This window comes from Homo sapiens, chromosome 6 (genome assembly GCF_000001405.40).
Source record: "Homo sapiens chromosome 6, GRCh38.p14 Primary Assembly".
Lineage (NCBI taxonomy): Eukaryota > Metazoa > Chordata > Mammalia > Primates > Hominidae > Homo > Homo sapiens.
Genome location: NC_000006.12, coordinates 160,066,580 through 160,082,983, shown reverse-complemented (window position 1 = coordinate 160,082,983; position 16,404 = coordinate 160,066,580). Strand labels below are relative to the sequence as shown.

The 16,404-nt window shown below is 50.1% G+C and overlaps 1 protein-coding gene and 1 long non-coding RNA gene across 2 annotated transcripts in view, besides 2 other annotated features; both read right to left on the bottom strand.

Annotated features, from left to right (window-relative positions):
- The window catches only part of IGF2R (insulin like growth factor 2 receptor), a 142,423-nt gene that overhangs the window by 28,521 nt on the left and 97,498 nt on the right, over window positions 1–16,404 (bottom strand). Inside the window, exons 30-39 of the mRNA NM_000876.4 lie at window positions 14,599–14,735; window positions 12,926–13,116; window positions 10,948–11,074; window positions 10,100–10,219; window positions 9,515–9,771; window positions 9,009–9,227; window positions 6,988–7,137; window positions 4,622–4,783; window positions 3,197–3,404; window positions 2,709–2,855 (exon numbers count right to left, since the gene is read on the bottom strand). Of these exons, the coding sequence (NP_000867.3) occupies window positions 2,709–2,855; window positions 3,197–3,404; window positions 4,622–4,783; window positions 6,988–7,137; window positions 9,009–9,227; window positions 9,515–9,771; window positions 10,100–10,219; window positions 10,948–11,074; window positions 12,926–13,116; window positions 14,599–14,735 (1,718 nt within the window). The remainder of the gene's footprint in view (window positions 1–2,708; window positions 2,856–3,196; window positions 3,405–4,621; window positions 4,784–6,987; window positions 7,138–9,008; window positions 9,228–9,514; window positions 9,772–10,099; window positions 10,220–10,947; window positions 11,075–12,925; window positions 13,117–14,598; window positions 14,736–16,404) is intronic.
- Window positions 4,560–5,060: an enhancer, noted in NCBI's record as "H3K27ac hESC enhancer chr6:160498956-160499456 (GRCh37/hg19 assembly coordinates)". NCBI's record gives its function as "activates a minimal SCP1, AML or CMV promoter by ChIP-STARR-seq in primed H9 embryonic stem cells {active_cell/tissue: H9 hESC(primed)}" and the evidence as "EXISTENCE:reporter gene assay evidence [ECO:0000049][PMID:30033119]".
- LOC124901451 (uncharacterized) lies at window positions 13,439–14,082 on the bottom strand. Its single transcript, XR_007059841.1, has 2 exons — window positions 13,970–14,082; window positions 13,439–13,863 (listed from the first exon to the last, which is right to left on the bottom strand). It is a non-coding gene; the product is annotated as an uncharacterized LOC124901451 (long non-coding RNA).
- Window positions 13,530–13,599: an enhancer, noted in NCBI's record as "active region_25401". NCBI's record gives its function as "activates an Ori minimal core promoter by ATAC-STARR-seq in GM12878 lymphoblastoid cells {active_cell/tissue: GM12878}" and the evidence as "EXISTENCE:reporter gene assay evidence [ECO:0000049][PMID:35858748]".

The following is a 16,404-nucleotide window of genomic DNA, read 5'->3' as shown; positions in this document are numbered from 1 at the left end:
ATTTCTTTTCTCAGTCTCTCATCCCACCCGACTAGAAATACCCACAAGTGTGGAGGGGCAGGCCACCCCTTCAGGGGAGCAGAGGCGGGAGAATGTCAGACCAAGGCCTGCACCAGGGCACGTTCCTGCACGCCTTCCCCATGCTGCCTCAGGAGCACCTGCAGACTCCATCCGCCATCTGGCAACACACCACGTGCTGCCCTGGCCACATCTCATGTTGATTCACTCATGTGTATCCTGACTCCAAATAGACCCAGCTCCTTGGCACACAGCCTTTCATCGTACTTCTTAATAACCCCACAGCCCTAGGTGATTCCTCACACGGGTATTCAATATTTGACCAATCTACTAATGATCACGAAAAAAAATAAGATAGCTGGGCGCGGTGGCTCACGCCTGTAATCCCAGCACTCTGGGAGGCCGAGGTGGGCGGATCATGAGGTCAGCAGTTGGAGACCAGCCTGACCAACATGGTGAAATCCCATCTCTACCAAAAATACAAAAAAATTAGCTGGGTGAGGTGGCGGGCCCCTGTAATCCCAGCTACTTGGGAGGCTGAGGCAGGAGTATCACTTGAAACCAGAAGGTGGAGCTTGCAGTGAGCCAAGACTGCACCACTGCACTCTAGCCTGGGCAACAAGAGCAAAACTCCATCTCAAAAAAAAAAAAAATTTAAGATAATAATGTAATACCTACAAGTACTTGAAAACAGGAGTGTGATTCAGAAAATAGGGAATAACGTTTTGTCAAAATAAGCCTCAAAACAAAGCTATAGCAATCCTTCGTAAATTTAACACGTTTGGTTCCTTAATACATCCCATTTTGGTCCCTGGACTATTGCGGGAAGTCAGGGACCATGAACGGAGGGACCTGCTGAAGCCGTGACAGAAGAATATACATTGTGAAGATTTCATGGACATTTATCACTTCCCCAATCAATATTATAATTTCCTATGCCTGTCTTTACTTTAATCTCTTAATCCCATCATCTTCGTAAGCTGAGGATGTATGTCGCCTCAGGACCCTGTGATGATTGCATTAACTGCACAAATTGTTCGTAAAGCATGTGTGTTTGAACAATATGAAATCTGGGCACCTTAAGAACAGGATAACAGTGATTTTCAAGGAACAAGTGAGATAACCTTAAAGTCTGGCTGACTGTGGGCCGGTGAGGACAGAGCCATATTTCTCTTATTACCGAAAACGGGTAAGAGAAATATCGCTGAATTCTTTCCCCAGTAAGGAATTTTAATAATTAACAGCCCTGGGAAAAGAATGCATTCCCGGGAGGAAGGCAGGGGCGCCTCTTAAATGGCCACTCTAGGGGTGTCTGCCTTATGCAGTTGCAGATAAGGGATGAAACACGCCCTGGCCTCCTGCAGCGCCCCCAGGCTTGCTAGGATTTGGAAATTCCAGCCTGGCGAATTCTAGTTAAACCGGTTCTCTGCTCTTGAACCCTCACAATGTGTGCACAGTGGGACATGGAAGTTATTTAGTGATTCTAGTTTCGCGCTGACCTTGTGATCCTGCCCTGACCTTCTGCCTTGTGACCTCTTGTCATCCTTGAAGCATGTGATCTCCATGACCCACACCCTATTCGTACACTCCCTCCCCTTTGAAAATTGCTAATAAAAACTTGCTGGTTTTGCGGCTCGGGGGCATCACAGAACCTGCCAACATGTAATGTCTCCCCCGGACACCAGCTTTAAAATTTCTCTCTTTTGTACTCTTTCCCCTTATTTCTCAGACCGGCCAACACTTAGGGAAATAGAAAAGAACCTACGTTGAAAAATCGGGGGCTGGTTCCCCCGATACTGGACATTTATGAAAATTAGTAATTTTTCTTTTTTTTTTTTTTGAGACCGAGTCTCACTCTGTCACCCAGGCTGGAGTGAAGTGGCATGATCTCGGCTCACTGCAAGCTCCGCCTCCCGGGTACACACCATCCTCCTGCCTCAGCCTCCCCAGTAGCTGGGACTACAGGCGCCCGCCACCACGCCCAGCTAATTTTTTTTTTTTTTTGTATTTTTAGTAGAGACGGGGTTTCACCATGCTAGCCAGGATGGTCTCAATCTCCTGACCTCGTGATCCACCCGCCTCAGCCTCCCAAAGTGCTGGGATTACAGGCGTGAGCCACCGCGCCTGGCCAAAAATTAGTAATTTTTCATGCATTTCCCTCATCTCACGGTCCGTAGACACAAGTCACAGCAGTTGGCTCCTCTCATGAAACTTCCTGAGCACCGCAGGGGCAAGGCACTGAGTGTGGCTCACCAAGAAACCTCCATCCCCACCTGGGCTGCCACATGGCGGAAAGTCAATAAATGAGTCGCCTGGTTTACCGGAATCCTCACTAGCTTCAGAATCCTGAAGACCCATAGCAGACATTCATTTTCCTGAGGCATAATCTGAACCACCAGGGCTAAAACCTGGTATGTGGACACAAGGCCCTCCAGCTAGTGAGTGGGCCTAGCCAGCCACCCAGCACAGCATCTCACGGCAGCTCTACCACGGTCTGTAGATACGGTTACCCAGCAATCCCACAGAGCAATTCAAACGTTTCTCTGTGGGAAACAGCCCGAGTAAGAAAATATTTTATGCAAGAGAATTCCTGCCACTGACTGGGGCATCCACAAAGGTCTCAGTGTGAATCGAGCCTTGACAGTATCAAGGCCCCAGGCCATGTGGGGACGCGGAGCCGTCCTACTCACAGTGTCTGCAGAAGCCCCACTCGTGGTCTCTGTCGTAGTCCGCAGTTGTGCTACACCACAGCTTCGCCCTGCTCTCTATGATGCACTCCTCGTAGCTCTTCCCATTGAATATGAAGGGGAAGACACAGGGGACGCCGTCATCGGTTTCTGGAAAGAAGAAGAACATTATCAGTGTGGCAGCTGTGCCTCGCCAGGCACAATCACCTCAGAATGCAGCAGCAGTCCCTAAGGAAGCTGCCCATCCTAAAGCACCTACGTGACAACCGGCATTCACCTGCCAAAACTCACCAGGCAACTGAGAGAACACAGCGTGATTCACACACCAGCATTCACACCGGGGGTGTACAGAGGAACAGCTCACATTCACGCCCAAGGTTACAGCACTCATAGGACCGTGGAGCTCCACTCCGCAGCTTCTTTCTGCTGCTATGTCTAATTTCTAGTTTACTATGAGCTTGAAGTTTATTTACCTCATTGCAAATATTTACCTGGAGGGCAACGATCACCATTCACGTAACTTAAAACGACCGCTTCATCCTGGTGCCTGTAATCCAGTTTCATTGATTGCAGCCGTCCAAAGGATGCCCCCTTGGTGCCTGAGAGCAGACAGACTCCTCCGTCCTTACAGCCTCCTTGTTCTGGCCCGACTGCAAAGGTGCACACCCCAACGCTGTAGGTGCGCGAGTCGCGAGTCACCTGGACAAAAACCATGCGTGGCCGTCAGCAGAGTGGCAGCACCCAGGTCTCAAAGTGAAGAGAGAACCACTATTGCAGCTGATGCTGGAGGCAGGTTCATGAGGAAGAGCAAAGACTCCTCTGTGTGCATCAGAGCCACGCAATCGCCTTGGCCCTAGGCTTTCCCTGGGGGGCCTCCCCCAACCCCTAGGCCCAGCTTGCTTGCTCCTCCTGCTCCCTGCTGGGGGCCTCGGCCACCCCTGCCAGCCAGCCACTGCTCTGGCTGTCGTCTCCAGTCAGAGCCCAGTGAGAAGGGACCCAGCAGTGGGGTCACCCCACCTCCCTCACCTGTGTAATAAGACATTGTGCGGGCCAAGTGAGTGAATGAGCAGAGCCGACGCTGCACGCTGAAGCATGGACCTGACTCTCCTGGCCCACCCAGCGCCCAGAAGGCTCACACCTACTGCACACCTGTCGGGAGGACCTGTACCCAGGCAGAGGGCTCCATCACAGGAGCCAGGGTGTTGACACCTGGGCCCAAAACTCCAGGCTCATCACTCACCAGCCGCCGTGCCACAGCAGGTGCTGGGGTTCCGTACCCCAGTCCAGGCACTGGCATGGTAACATCTAGATATCTAGGCTTAGGGAGTCAGGGGCCCCCAGGCACCAGTGACCACGACACCACATCAGTAAGACCAGCAGCCCAAAGAATCAGCACACGCCAGGGCTCTGGCATGGCATGGAGGCACATGCCCAAGTGCCTCTCAATTCCAGGGCACCTCCTACCTCCCTCTTCCCAAAGCTGCCACAATCAGCAAACAACTGCCTTGATCATCTTCAACCAGGTTGGAGGAATTAAATCCCTGTAGATTTCAGCCACCCAGGAGCTGGCCCTGTCCCCATGGATACCTTACATTCATGTCTCCGGGCTGCCCCACCTGCCCTCTGTCTGATACAAAGGGTCCCACTACCCGCCTCATGAGGTTACTTATCATCAAAAAGCGTTAAGTGCAGAGCCATGAGGTACAACGCAAGTGTCAGCTGCGCTGAGTTGGCCACGCAATCCAAGAACCTTCCTGAGACCTGGCATGCCCTACGAGAGCACCAAGATGCTGCCCAGTGGCCACATACACCCTCTCAGCTCACAGGTACCACATTATCCAAAACACTCCCAGCAGCCTCACAGCACCTGGCACCTGGTACACCTGCACCAGCAACGCCCAGGGTGAACGCATTACCTTAAAGGTGCTCGTGGAAAGGCTGGACAAGTTGAAGCTGTAGAGGAGCTGCTCATCTGTCAGGGTACAGCCATCCATCCTCACTTCATCAGGACAGACGACAGGAGTCTCCCATTCGAACACAAAGTCGCACTCGCTGGTCCTTAACAGCTTAGGCGTTCCCTGTTGCCAGGAAGAGCACGGGTCTTAAAAACCCCATGGCATAGGGATAGATAGCAGTGACACACCACGTCCCTACAGGGGCTGTGCATAACCCACAGCGGCCTCTCAGAGGGAAGGGATGCTAGACAACAGCAGCTGAAAGACCCAATGCCATCTTCAAGGCACAGACATCACCCTGCCCTTGCCCCCTACACATCCTGTGAGCTCCCTGGCTGAATCCAGGTCTTGTCTTCTACTTAGAGAGAAAGCCTCAATGTTCTGTGCTACGGGTTCAAAGGAAGAAAGGGGGAGGGCTTATATGTCATGAGAGAGGTCTGTGAAACTGAGACCCTGCCTCACAAGTGCTCCAATCTACTGTCTCTAGACACGGGAGACATTTATTCAAGGGGCAAGATGCCACATGGCCAGATATTCCATAGGCCAAGTATTGTAGAATCACTTTATTTATTCCCTCCCTCATTCAACAGCAACAAAAAAAGATGAGGCAGCTCTCAGGAATTCCATTTGTAATTAATGTTAAGCATCTTTTTCCCTATGATTCAGTGGTAAAAGTACTTCCATTGAAAATGAAAACTGCTGGGGAAGAAAAATCTTCTAAAAATCTTTCTGGAACGCTAGAACACACATTCAGCATAAGATGCTTCATTTCTAAAATCAAGTAAACACTAATCACCCTCAATGTGCAGCTGCTGAGAATTAACTAAAATCACATTAGCTAATTCGATTTGTCACGTTGGCAGCAGAGTCAAAGCAAGGCATAGTTCCACACTCTTTAGCTGGTGGTGTAGATAACAAAGCATCACTCATGATGAGGTGGGTCTTAGAAGTGAAGACTGTCCTTTAAAGAACGAAGAACTTAATGCAGAAGCCCCCCGCAAGGCAAAATCCACGTTGCCCCATGCTGTGTGCATCTACAGAGGCACACCCAGACACCCCTATAAAAATATGCCAATACGCTTATAAACAGATGCAATGGGTGGACTGAATACAGCTCTGCCTTTCCTTACTAACTAGGACTGTCACTACACTCTAAGATTCATGAACACATCCAAGGGCTTTGAGGTGCTCTGGGCCCCTGTGGAGTAGCCCCAAACAGCAGGACTGTTTCCTCCTCCTTCTCAAATACTGTCTCTCTCACTGGTCAGGCGGCTGCCAGGTCACTTTCTGTCACTGTCAGCACACCCATGTCTAACAGTCCCTTTACAAACCTGCTCCAGGCCCAAACATCAGAAGGATGTCTTTATCAGAATTACAAGACACCCAACAGATCCTAATCCATCACCTGAACTCCTAGGGGTCAGATGAGCCTTGGAATCCAACATCTTTATTAGGATTTTAAGAGGCAATTCTCACACCCCCAGATCCTGTGATCAAACATATTAATATTTCTGCAGCTAGATGTATCAATATCCACATTAGGTGGGACAAATCCACACCATAAATAGCCTCAGTCCATTCATGTCAAAGGAGCCCCAAGTTTTCAGAGCTTCAGAGATTTCAGAAGCACAGACGACAGGCTGTGGTGCTGTGTCCCTGGAGCAAAGAGCTGTTCCCCTGTGCAGTAGCTGGGACCTGGCTCTGCCCCTGCAGAGCTACTCTGAGTCCCTGTGGAATAGGGGCCATAATCTACCAATTTATCTCACAGAGCAGGGATCAAAAGAAAACGTCCTCAAAGACTATAACCAATACCGAACTCATTATAATGGAAGCTGGTATTCTTTTTTTAATGCACATAAAATGGAAGTCAATACCTCATTATAAGTAAAAGGTGCCACTTTGTTGTAGCTATTCTGATTCCAGGGGTCTTTTGTTACTTGTTAACTTCTGGGCTATGTCCTGAGTGACTATAGCTGCCCAAATGTCTTTCTGACTTCCCAGTTAGAATAAAATCAGTAATTGTTAAAGTAAAAACAAAAGTTATGACACTTTTATGCATCAGCAGTCAAAGCTGAATGTCATTTCTATACTTGTGTTCTATGTTTTTAAATTACAGCAAGTTTCTATATGCTGTTAACTGCGGGGGAGCTCACTCAGCCCTCAATCAGTGGTTTAAATTATTCAGACACACTACTAGCGTACCATCTTACCCAAGGCAGACATTTTGAATAAGAGTATCCTTGGACCTGACACGCACTTTCTGGTTGTCTAGCCTTGGCTCACTAACCCGCAGTTGAGCATCTAGATCGTCACAGGCCCACACTTACCATGCTCACACCTCTCTTACAGTGAAACGCGATGAGCGAGGTGTAGTTGAAATGCTTGTCCGCTAAGCAAGGAGTACTGCTTTCAAAATTCAAGTAAATCTCATTTGCTATTGGATTGAGTATTGGTGGTCCTGCTACCCGGCCGATATCCTAAACAAAGAGCGAGGGCAAACAGTATTTCAGGAAATTAACCATTCCCAAGGTTAGTGGAATTAAGAATTGATACAGAATTGCAAAAACCAGACCTCATAGGTTCTGAGAATGAGCAGCATCTAAAGAAACTGGGTTTATACCAACTCCAGTTGGAAGGCTTGACAGATGCTGTGTAACCTCCGTATGTCAGTGGTTATCGTTTTGATCCTAACGTTAGTTCTAAGGTTGGTTCTATTTCTAGGTATCTTCAATTTTCAAAGATCCTAAGCAATAGGAATCTCTCCAGTCACATCAAGGAGACTACAGAGTCCTCCCATCAGCTGATGAGGGAAGCCCGGAACCTGAAAAACCTCTAAGGATGCTACACGGTCCTCCCACCACCTGACAGGGGAAGGCCGGAACCTCCATGCTGACCTGCCACCCTCACTGCCCAGTGCTGCCCCGGGACTGCCCACTGACGTGGCCCAGCAGTAACCACTGGCTATGTCCTTGGGAGAGGGGACAGGAGGTGTTCACTGTTCATTTTCATTGCTTAGCACAGCACCTGGCACACAGCGGCTGCCCAAGAGATATTTTTGAGTGAATAAACAAATAAATAAAAGACCAGTCTGAGTATTATGAGAAAAAAAACAAAAAACTCTTTTTTTATTTTTAAAAAGTAAATAAAGGTGAATGGCCAGGAACTGTGTATGTGATGAATGTGTGTGTGCATGCACGTGTGTGTGCATGTGGGTGTGAGTGTGTGTATAAGCAGCTTCCCCATGATTTTGTTCTCAGCTACAGTGCTCTTCATTCACCACTGTGGGGCACGTTCAGACCACGTGGCACCACACCTTCTCCAGTTAAATAACTTTCTACATCTTTTAACATTTGACAATGGGTGGCCAGGCAATGATTCCCGATCGAGGATCCCCGGTCTGCGCTGTCAGAAAGGACGCTACCAAAGAGCTTCCTGGGGAGACTCAGCTTGTCCAGGCCTCCATCTCACACAGAGCTGGAGCTGTGCTAATTCAGGCTGTGGCCGATCTCCTTACACACTCCTGACATCTCCCCATATCACTGCCACATATAATGGCCATCTTTCTAAAGGACATCTAGATATGTTACAAGAGGATCCATCTTTAAAGCATAATAGATGATACAGACAGAAATACAGACGACTTGTGAGATACATTCAAATATTAAAACATACCAAGGATTTGACAAAATATGAATATAACTCATGGAGACAATTTTTAAAGATCCAAATTTCTATTAAAACATGCTAGTAAGCCAGGCACTGTGGCTCATGCCTGTAATCCCAGAACTTCAGGAGGATCACTTAAGGCCAGGAGCCTGAGGCCAGCCTGGCTGGGTGACATAGCAATACTCCCATCTCTACAAAATAATTTTTTAATGCATAAAACCAAAGCTTTTAAGGCAAAATATTTAGCTATTAGCAAACGTACTCTTGCCCTTAATTATAACTCCTTGCCAAAGAAACTGTTTGCATTTCGCAAGCGTTTTAACTACAGAAGACAAGGCATTTCACACAAAGAAACCAGGCTAGGGCAATGTGCTTTCCTGTCACTTCACCTAAAAACTTCTTGATTTGGGTCAACCCTGAGGCTCATGACAAGTAGAGTCCCTACACACATATTCGTGTTACCTCCCATGCTCAAAGACTGGCTGGCTACCATCATCAGCGAACAGTTCAATGTGCAAACCTTTAATCTTCCAGTAGCGGACCCAGAACATACACAGTCCCACTTACTTTCTCCATTTTTTTTATGCTTGAGCAACTCCCCACTGAAGGCAAGAAACAACGCAAAGGTTATCACTAAAAGTCTTGCAAAAATTATCTCCACCCTTGGATTTGTCATACTTACTATGGGGGGACCATCAATAGGAACTTTGCACACAGCGGCTCCGGCAGGACAGGGCACTCCGTGCATGGGATTTAGTGGCTGACAAATATTGATGTAGAAATCAGGGTTGGTATCGGAGGCATCATCCTCACTCTCATCATAAGCCTCATAACCACCAGTGCGATGAATAAGGGGAGACAAGTCAACAATAGAGCTTCCATTCCTCACGGAACATTCGGTCTGTTAAGTAGGAAAGACTGCTTTGAGTCTACAAAAAAATTTTCCTAATCACCACTAGGTCATCCATAAGAATTTAAAAGCTGAATAACAACAACAAAAAAAGTAGAAAGGTGTCAAAATGCTTCATTACATAGCACTGGGCACTTCCAGTCAACTTTATTATTGGGGTGATCAGGAGTGGACAGTTCAGCTGGGCATCTACTAGTGGGCAAGTGAACCTGACGAAGGGGCCCGGGTGCAGCCAGGCACTGGACATGCACTTCTCCCGTGCCCATCTGAAAACTCACCGCTTGCTCGCAGGCCAGCGGCGTGTGCCAGGAGAAGAAGAGAGTGCATGTCTGCTTGTCCAGGGAGATGAGCATGGGCCTATTGGTTGGCCTGGCCTCAGGCCTGCACACGAAACTGATCACACTCTTATAGCTCAGGCCGGATTTGGAGGGACAAGGGGACCCATCCTTGTACACCAGCTGCAGGACCTGGTCCACGTATCTCAGCCTCTTGTTGGCCTTGCCCACGCTAATCCTGGTCTGTCCAAAGCAGGCCCCTGCACCACAAGGGAAAGGCGGAGAAAACACAATCACAGACTCGATGGCCAATTTTCTGATGAGAACTTTCGCAAGTCAGGACCATCAATTTCATAGCCAACACTTATAACTTCAAGTGTCCAATCCGGCTTTAACCATTGTTTTACATTGAATGTTCATTCCATCACATGACCATGTGTCCCCCACATGGGGTGACTGCTGCAGGAGACAAAAGCGTCTCAGCTTCCTGGCTCTGCTCATCCTTTTTGCCATTAGCATGCAAAGAGACTGAGGACAACCCCAGAGGACGGGAGAGTCAGACAACACACGAGAGACCACAGCACTCACCCACGCCAGGAGGGCAGTTTTCATTCTCCCCACAGATGCTCATGTAAACCAACCCCTTCTCGCTGTAAGCAGCTGTGAATCCCGCCCTGCCACTTAAGGAGCTCAGATCAAACAGGTGTCCTGTAGGGTGGAAGAAGATGGGGACACAGTGACTCCAGGGAGCTGAGACTTGGGAGGCTCATCATCGGCGAGCTCACACACAGATTATGTCAGCATCGGGACTTCTGACTTCTCACCACGACCCCTGTCCTAAATCCTCCACCAACAGCCAGGCTGTATCATGAGACTGTCAGTCCCTTGATCCATGAGATGTCCCATCCTTAGCTGAAAAGATCGTGGCTCACAGCACCCTCTGCTGGGCCATACCACAGCAGCCACTAAGAGTCTGGTGGGCATGGGGAGAGCCTGCCCAGCACACCTCTTGCTGCCAATGGACTGTGCCTGTGCCTTTCTGGGTGCCCAGCACAAGGGCAGGTGAGAGACTCCTGGCAATCCACTACACTGATGCTGAAAGGCAGCCAGGGGCTAGCTCTAACCTGCCCTGGAGAGCCTAGAGCTGCTGGACTGACACTGTCAGTAACCCCAGTCAGGAGCACCTCTCACACCAGGAGAGTGACAGGAGGGATGGATTCTCTGTGGGAGCATTCTCTCCTCCACTGAAGGAGAGCCAGGAGAACACACAGCAGCCCATCCAGAGAAAGGCCAAACACACCCACACACCATGACACCTCTGCCCAGGGCGCCTGCTGCCCATAGCTTCTCTTTGGGTCTCTCCCCTGATGAGCTGGGTTTGGTGGGGGCACCGTCTCTCACCTGCGCTGGGGTTAACGACTGGCACCACCTCTCACCTGTGCTTGGGTTGGTGACCTGGCAGTCATCATGCTCGTTGCTCTTCATGGGACAGGCTGTGGCTGTGGGCCAGGCAAAGGTGTACTCACAGTCCTCCACGGCGCTGATGAACATGGGCCTGGAGTTCTACAACAAAGCACAGACAGGTCCTGAAGGGATCACGCAAAAACTCCATGTCTATCATGATTTCAACTTACAAGTGGAAGCTTCTCTGAAAAACTCCACAGCATGTGACATTTCTGTCTCCATGTGCCTGTGGGATGAGGCGCAGATTAGGAAAAGCAAAGGGTCAGAATGTGTCCTGAGCTGCCACCATGGGCTTCCCCTGCAGGTAAGTGAAACACCCACAGGCAGCAACACACTTAGGGGACCAGGAAGCTCCCTCAGGCTGAGGAACAGGACAGGGGTTGGGGACAGGCGTGCAAAGGATGCTGGAAGGGCTACAGGGAGACACAAATGTGTAAATCATTGATAAAATTCTAAAAACCAAATGAGGTAAAATCCATTATCACAGTCAAAACAAAAAGATATACCAAGAGAACTAGCCCATTCCACGCATCCTCCCACTGGCACCAGCCAAGGCTTACTCTGCTCATCTCAAAACGCTTCATGTCCACTGCAGAGTTAGCATGATGAGTTCAGCAGCACCTTCCTTCCCAGGTAAACCCCATGATTCCTGCTGGGCACCCTGATAAGCCACGCTGCAGTCCAGCCTCCCAGGCCCTGGGCACAGGGGCCTCGACACACCCCCACCCTTCCCTCCCAGCCTCCTGGGCCCTGGGCACAGGGGCCTCGACACACCCCCACCCTTCCCTCCCAGCCTCCTGGGTCTGGGGCACAGGGCCTCCACACACCCTTCACCTTTCCCTCCCAGCCTCCTGGGTCTGGGGCACAGAGGCCCCCACACACCACCCTCATCCTTCCCTCCCAGCCTCCTGGGCTCTGGACATGGGGAACCCCACACACCCCTTCACCCTTCCCTCCCAGCCTTCTGGGCCCTGGGCACAGGGGCCCCACACACCCTCTCACCTTTGCCCCCCACATGTGGGGCAGCCCTTTTGTCCTCGGCCATGAGCCTCTCAGGTCACAGAGGAGAATGCTCAGAGGCCCCAGCAGCTCATGAGTCTGGACTAAGCCTCTGCACAATCTTCCCAAGAGGAAACTTCCCTGCCGCTCCAGGCAAGAGGGCAGGCCTGAAGCTCCTGGAGCCCCCCATCCCAAGCTCCCCTACCACTGCTGCCCACCGCTGGAGAGCATGGGGCGAGCCACCCTGACACCCAGCGAGCTGGTCTTGCCCGAGTTAATGCCCAACTCAGCCACCGAGCTTGTCATGCACGCTAGCACTGGGGCTCACCACAATCTCACACACAGAAAAACCTGTATGCAGTCGACACCTGCTTACGTGCATGCCAAACAAGTAAGGGAAGAACTGATCACAGGCACTCATGCTCACTGACTGTGCATCTCCCGTGTGTCAGAAATGACACCTGGCACTTCCTACCTCTTCTCTCGAAACCCTGCAATGGGCAGGACAAGTATGCCTCATGTTATGAACGGCTGAGCAGGGCAGACTACCTGAGTAATTAACCAAGTTATGTGGCTGGGAAGTGGCAGCGCTACCTGTGACCCGGGCCCAGCCAACCTTCTCGTGCTTCCCAAGCTGCCGCCGTGAAGACAAAAGGGCATGTAGTCAAACAACAATCTCCTCCACAGCCTTTAGGGGTCTGAGTCAAACTCTGAAGAGAACCAATTCTGAGTCGGGAACTGCCAGGCAAGCTTCTAAGGAGCCAGACAGCACGAGGGTTCCCCAGATTGCAGGCCGCGGCGACGCTGTTCCCCCAACCTCTGGTAAGGGCGCATCATCCCAGGCTCTAGAACTCGCATCCCAAGGCAGATGAGGACGTGCGGCTCACCGCCCTGCACATGGGCTCAATTCCCAAAGCTGCAACAGCAGAAGGTGCAGGAACAGTCCCTTACCACTTGGCTCTCGCTGCAGGTGAATCGGATGGTGGTTGACTTTTTCCGAATCCCATCTGGACATAAGTCGCCATCAACGTATTTCAGGACAATTATGCCATCTCTCCACTGAGGTCCGTCCCTTACCCTGCCGAGGTTCACGGGCTTGGAGCCACCCAGCAGACACGCGGCTGCTTCTGGAGGGCACGGCTCTGCAGCACCAGACACAAGAAAGAGTTGCCTTTAGTGACTCCCCAGGCTAGAACAGAACTTCATCAGGCAATAAATGTCACACACGCTGCAGAACTTCATACGCTTTCTAAGAGTCACTTCAAAATACCTGCTATTTCTTTCACATAAGTCAGATGACAATGACATCACGTTAGTTCTCACTCACTTACATGCTGTTTTGTCACAGATGGACTGGGGCAGGCGGGCGTGAGTGTAGAGGAATAGCTAGGCTGTAGCAGTCGAAATTCTTTCTGAACCCCATATAGGATGAAGGTTATATTCCCAAATTAAGACAGAGGAACATTTTAAATGGCCTACGTCCATGCACCTTCTTTATTCAAGAAGCTACCAAGAATTCTGCCTGTTTCCCAGTCCCTAAAATGCCTGTGCCATGTGCCCTGGGTGAAGAACTAGTCCCATGCCACAGGGGTACAGCCACTGTCGAAGTCTGCACAGCACAACGCAGCAAGGGGAAGTGGAACCACAGCCTCAAACCACACAGAGGATGGAACCACCTTCTGCAGCTAAAAATAACCACACCGCCTTTGAGGTGAGCCACCCAAGATGCAGGTGGGGCTGTATGAAACTCCACGAACATGGGATGAGTTTCATCTTCAGGGTTCCGAGGGGCCATGAGTGGTACCAAGATCCCTGGAGGTGCCCTTGGTTTCCCATGTACAGCTGACATCCAGTCTCAGCCAACCACCGCAGGTTTGAGTGAGCTGTCCCTGCATCACAAAAGGACCGACCATACAACTCTCAACATACGCAGGCACACACCAAGACCTCCACGTCACACCCCCCATCTTCTACCTGCTAAGAAGGATTCCTCACCATGGCTATTATTTCTATCTATTATATCTTCATCTCCTCATGTTCAGAAAGGGTTATCATGTTCCCAGCAGTCCTCAGCACTGATTTACCCTGGGCCATACTAGGGATCAACTGTTAACACCCTTAAATCATTCTTCGTCCTGCTGTTTCTCGGCCGAACCACGTCCATGCTGCAGAGAGTAAAGCGCCTCCAAAGAATCCCCATCCTACTTGATCTTCCCTGATAAACTCATGACAAGCCACCACCCCATGAAGAGGCCCTCTCTCACCAGTGCCAGCCTTCAATACACTCACTGCAAACACCATCCCACGAGGAGGCCCTCTCTCACCAGTGCCAGCTTTCAATACATTCATTGCAACCACCACCCCATGAGGAGGTCCTCTCTCACCAGTGCCAGCCTTCGATACACTCACTACAACCACCACCCCACGAGGAGGACCTCTCTCACCAGTGCTGGCCTGTGATACACTCACAGCAAACACCACCCCACGAGGAGGCCCTCTCTCACCAGTGCCAGCCTGTGATACACTCACTACAACCACCACCCCACGAGGAGGCCCCCTCTCACCAGTGCTGGCCTGTGATACACTCACTGCAAACACCACCCCACGAGGAGGCCCTCTCTCACCAGTGCCAGCCTGCGGGGCCAGAGACTTGCAGACATTGATGAGGTAGTGCTCCGGGTCCCCCGTCCCAGTGATGGCTTCCCAGTTGTCACTGTACCTTGACAGGGACGAGAGGTCGAAGGAGTTGCCAGCCCCATCTCTGAAAAGAAGAAAACCCGCAGTTAGTTAGGCTTGGTCGTATTCTCTTTAAACATTGGGCACTCTGTCTAGAAACGTTCAAGTATTCAGGCATAGTCTAAGCCTGACAGAACTTTAGACTCGACTTCTCTCTGTCTCTGTCACACACACACACACACACACACACACACACACACACACACACCCCCCATCAGAATCAGCAACAACATAACTTCCCTGAACATAATAGTTCAGGAAACTATTAGGCTCACTTAAAAAAAAATTTAAATTTTAACAGAAAAACTCAAGTCTGCAAAGTGCGTGCCGTCTGTGCTCAGGCCACTGAGAAGTGGAACTTGCTGGTGACAAAGGTAAGCAGCCAAGATGCTAGGAGCACACACAGCAGGGGCCATGCCCGGGGCAGCCGCACGCCACCTGTTGTTTAAAACCAAGGCCGCCAGCAGTTACTGAAATTCTGAAATTAAAATGGGCTTGCTGACCTTTCTGCACAGGCTAAAGGTTCACTAACTACACAAATCCCAAATACAGACAGTAACTGGGAACCAACCCCATGCCAGGAGCAATATTAACAGTGAGTGAGACACACACTCTGCCACCACGGAGCAGGAACGGGAGCAGCTACAGATGCCACCTCAGCGGCAGCTCTTAGCGCTTCAGAGGGGAATAAAAACTGGTCATTCATTCAAAAGCTGTGTGCTAAACTGGGGGTACTGTATTAAACAAAACAGTATTAAACATCATCAATCTTACAAAGTTTACCAAAATTACCTGTGGAAGAAAATGACCGTGAACAAGATAAGACTTTTAAAAATACATACTGTATTTGATGGAAGTAAGAGCTGAAGGAAAAAAGGCAGATAAGGGGGATATGAAGTTCGGGGGGCAGAGGCAGCTGTTGAAATTTTAGACAGTGGAGCCAGAGAAGGCGTGACCGAGAAGGGGACCTGTGAATAGACTCTGAGAGAAATGGAATCACTGACCATCCTGGCACCCAGTAAAGCGCATCCCAGGCAGAGAACAGCATGAGCAAAGGGCCCGAGGCACATAAGCCCGACATGACCCGAGAAAGACAGAAACCCCGTGTGGCTGGAACAGAGTGAAAGTGAGGTTATTAGAGACAACACGGGGGTCATGTCCATCAGAGGAAGAACTTCAGCCTGTAGGTCCCAATGAGATGGGCGCTCACTGCATTGAAGGTTTCAGCAAGAGCGACATGGTGGGACTTATATCTCAAGAGGATCATTCTAATTACTGTGTGGGACTAACCAAACGTGTGACAAGGGACATGGCAAGGAGACCTCGGAGTGGCAGCTGCAGTACTGCACGCACGAGAGGAGGAGTGCCCAAACCAGGGGCAGGTGGCAGGAAGGGAAAGCTGCCTGAAGGTGATGGGACAAGAACAGAGCTTAGTGAATATCACCAAATGCTCTAAAAGTAGTCAACAGAAGAAACAGAAATAGAACTAACAAAGCCAAGGCAGAGGAAAGAGGAGAGGAGAACAGCACAGGTGAGGACAGCTTTCATCTTTTAAAAGAGAGTCAACAGACACCATTAGAAGCTGACAAACAGAGGTTTAGAGTTATAGAAGGTTCCAAAAAGAACCACAAGAAGAAACAGTAAAAAGTGGAGTGAAGCTAGGGGTTGGGGAGGGAGAGGTGAGGGTGGGTAAT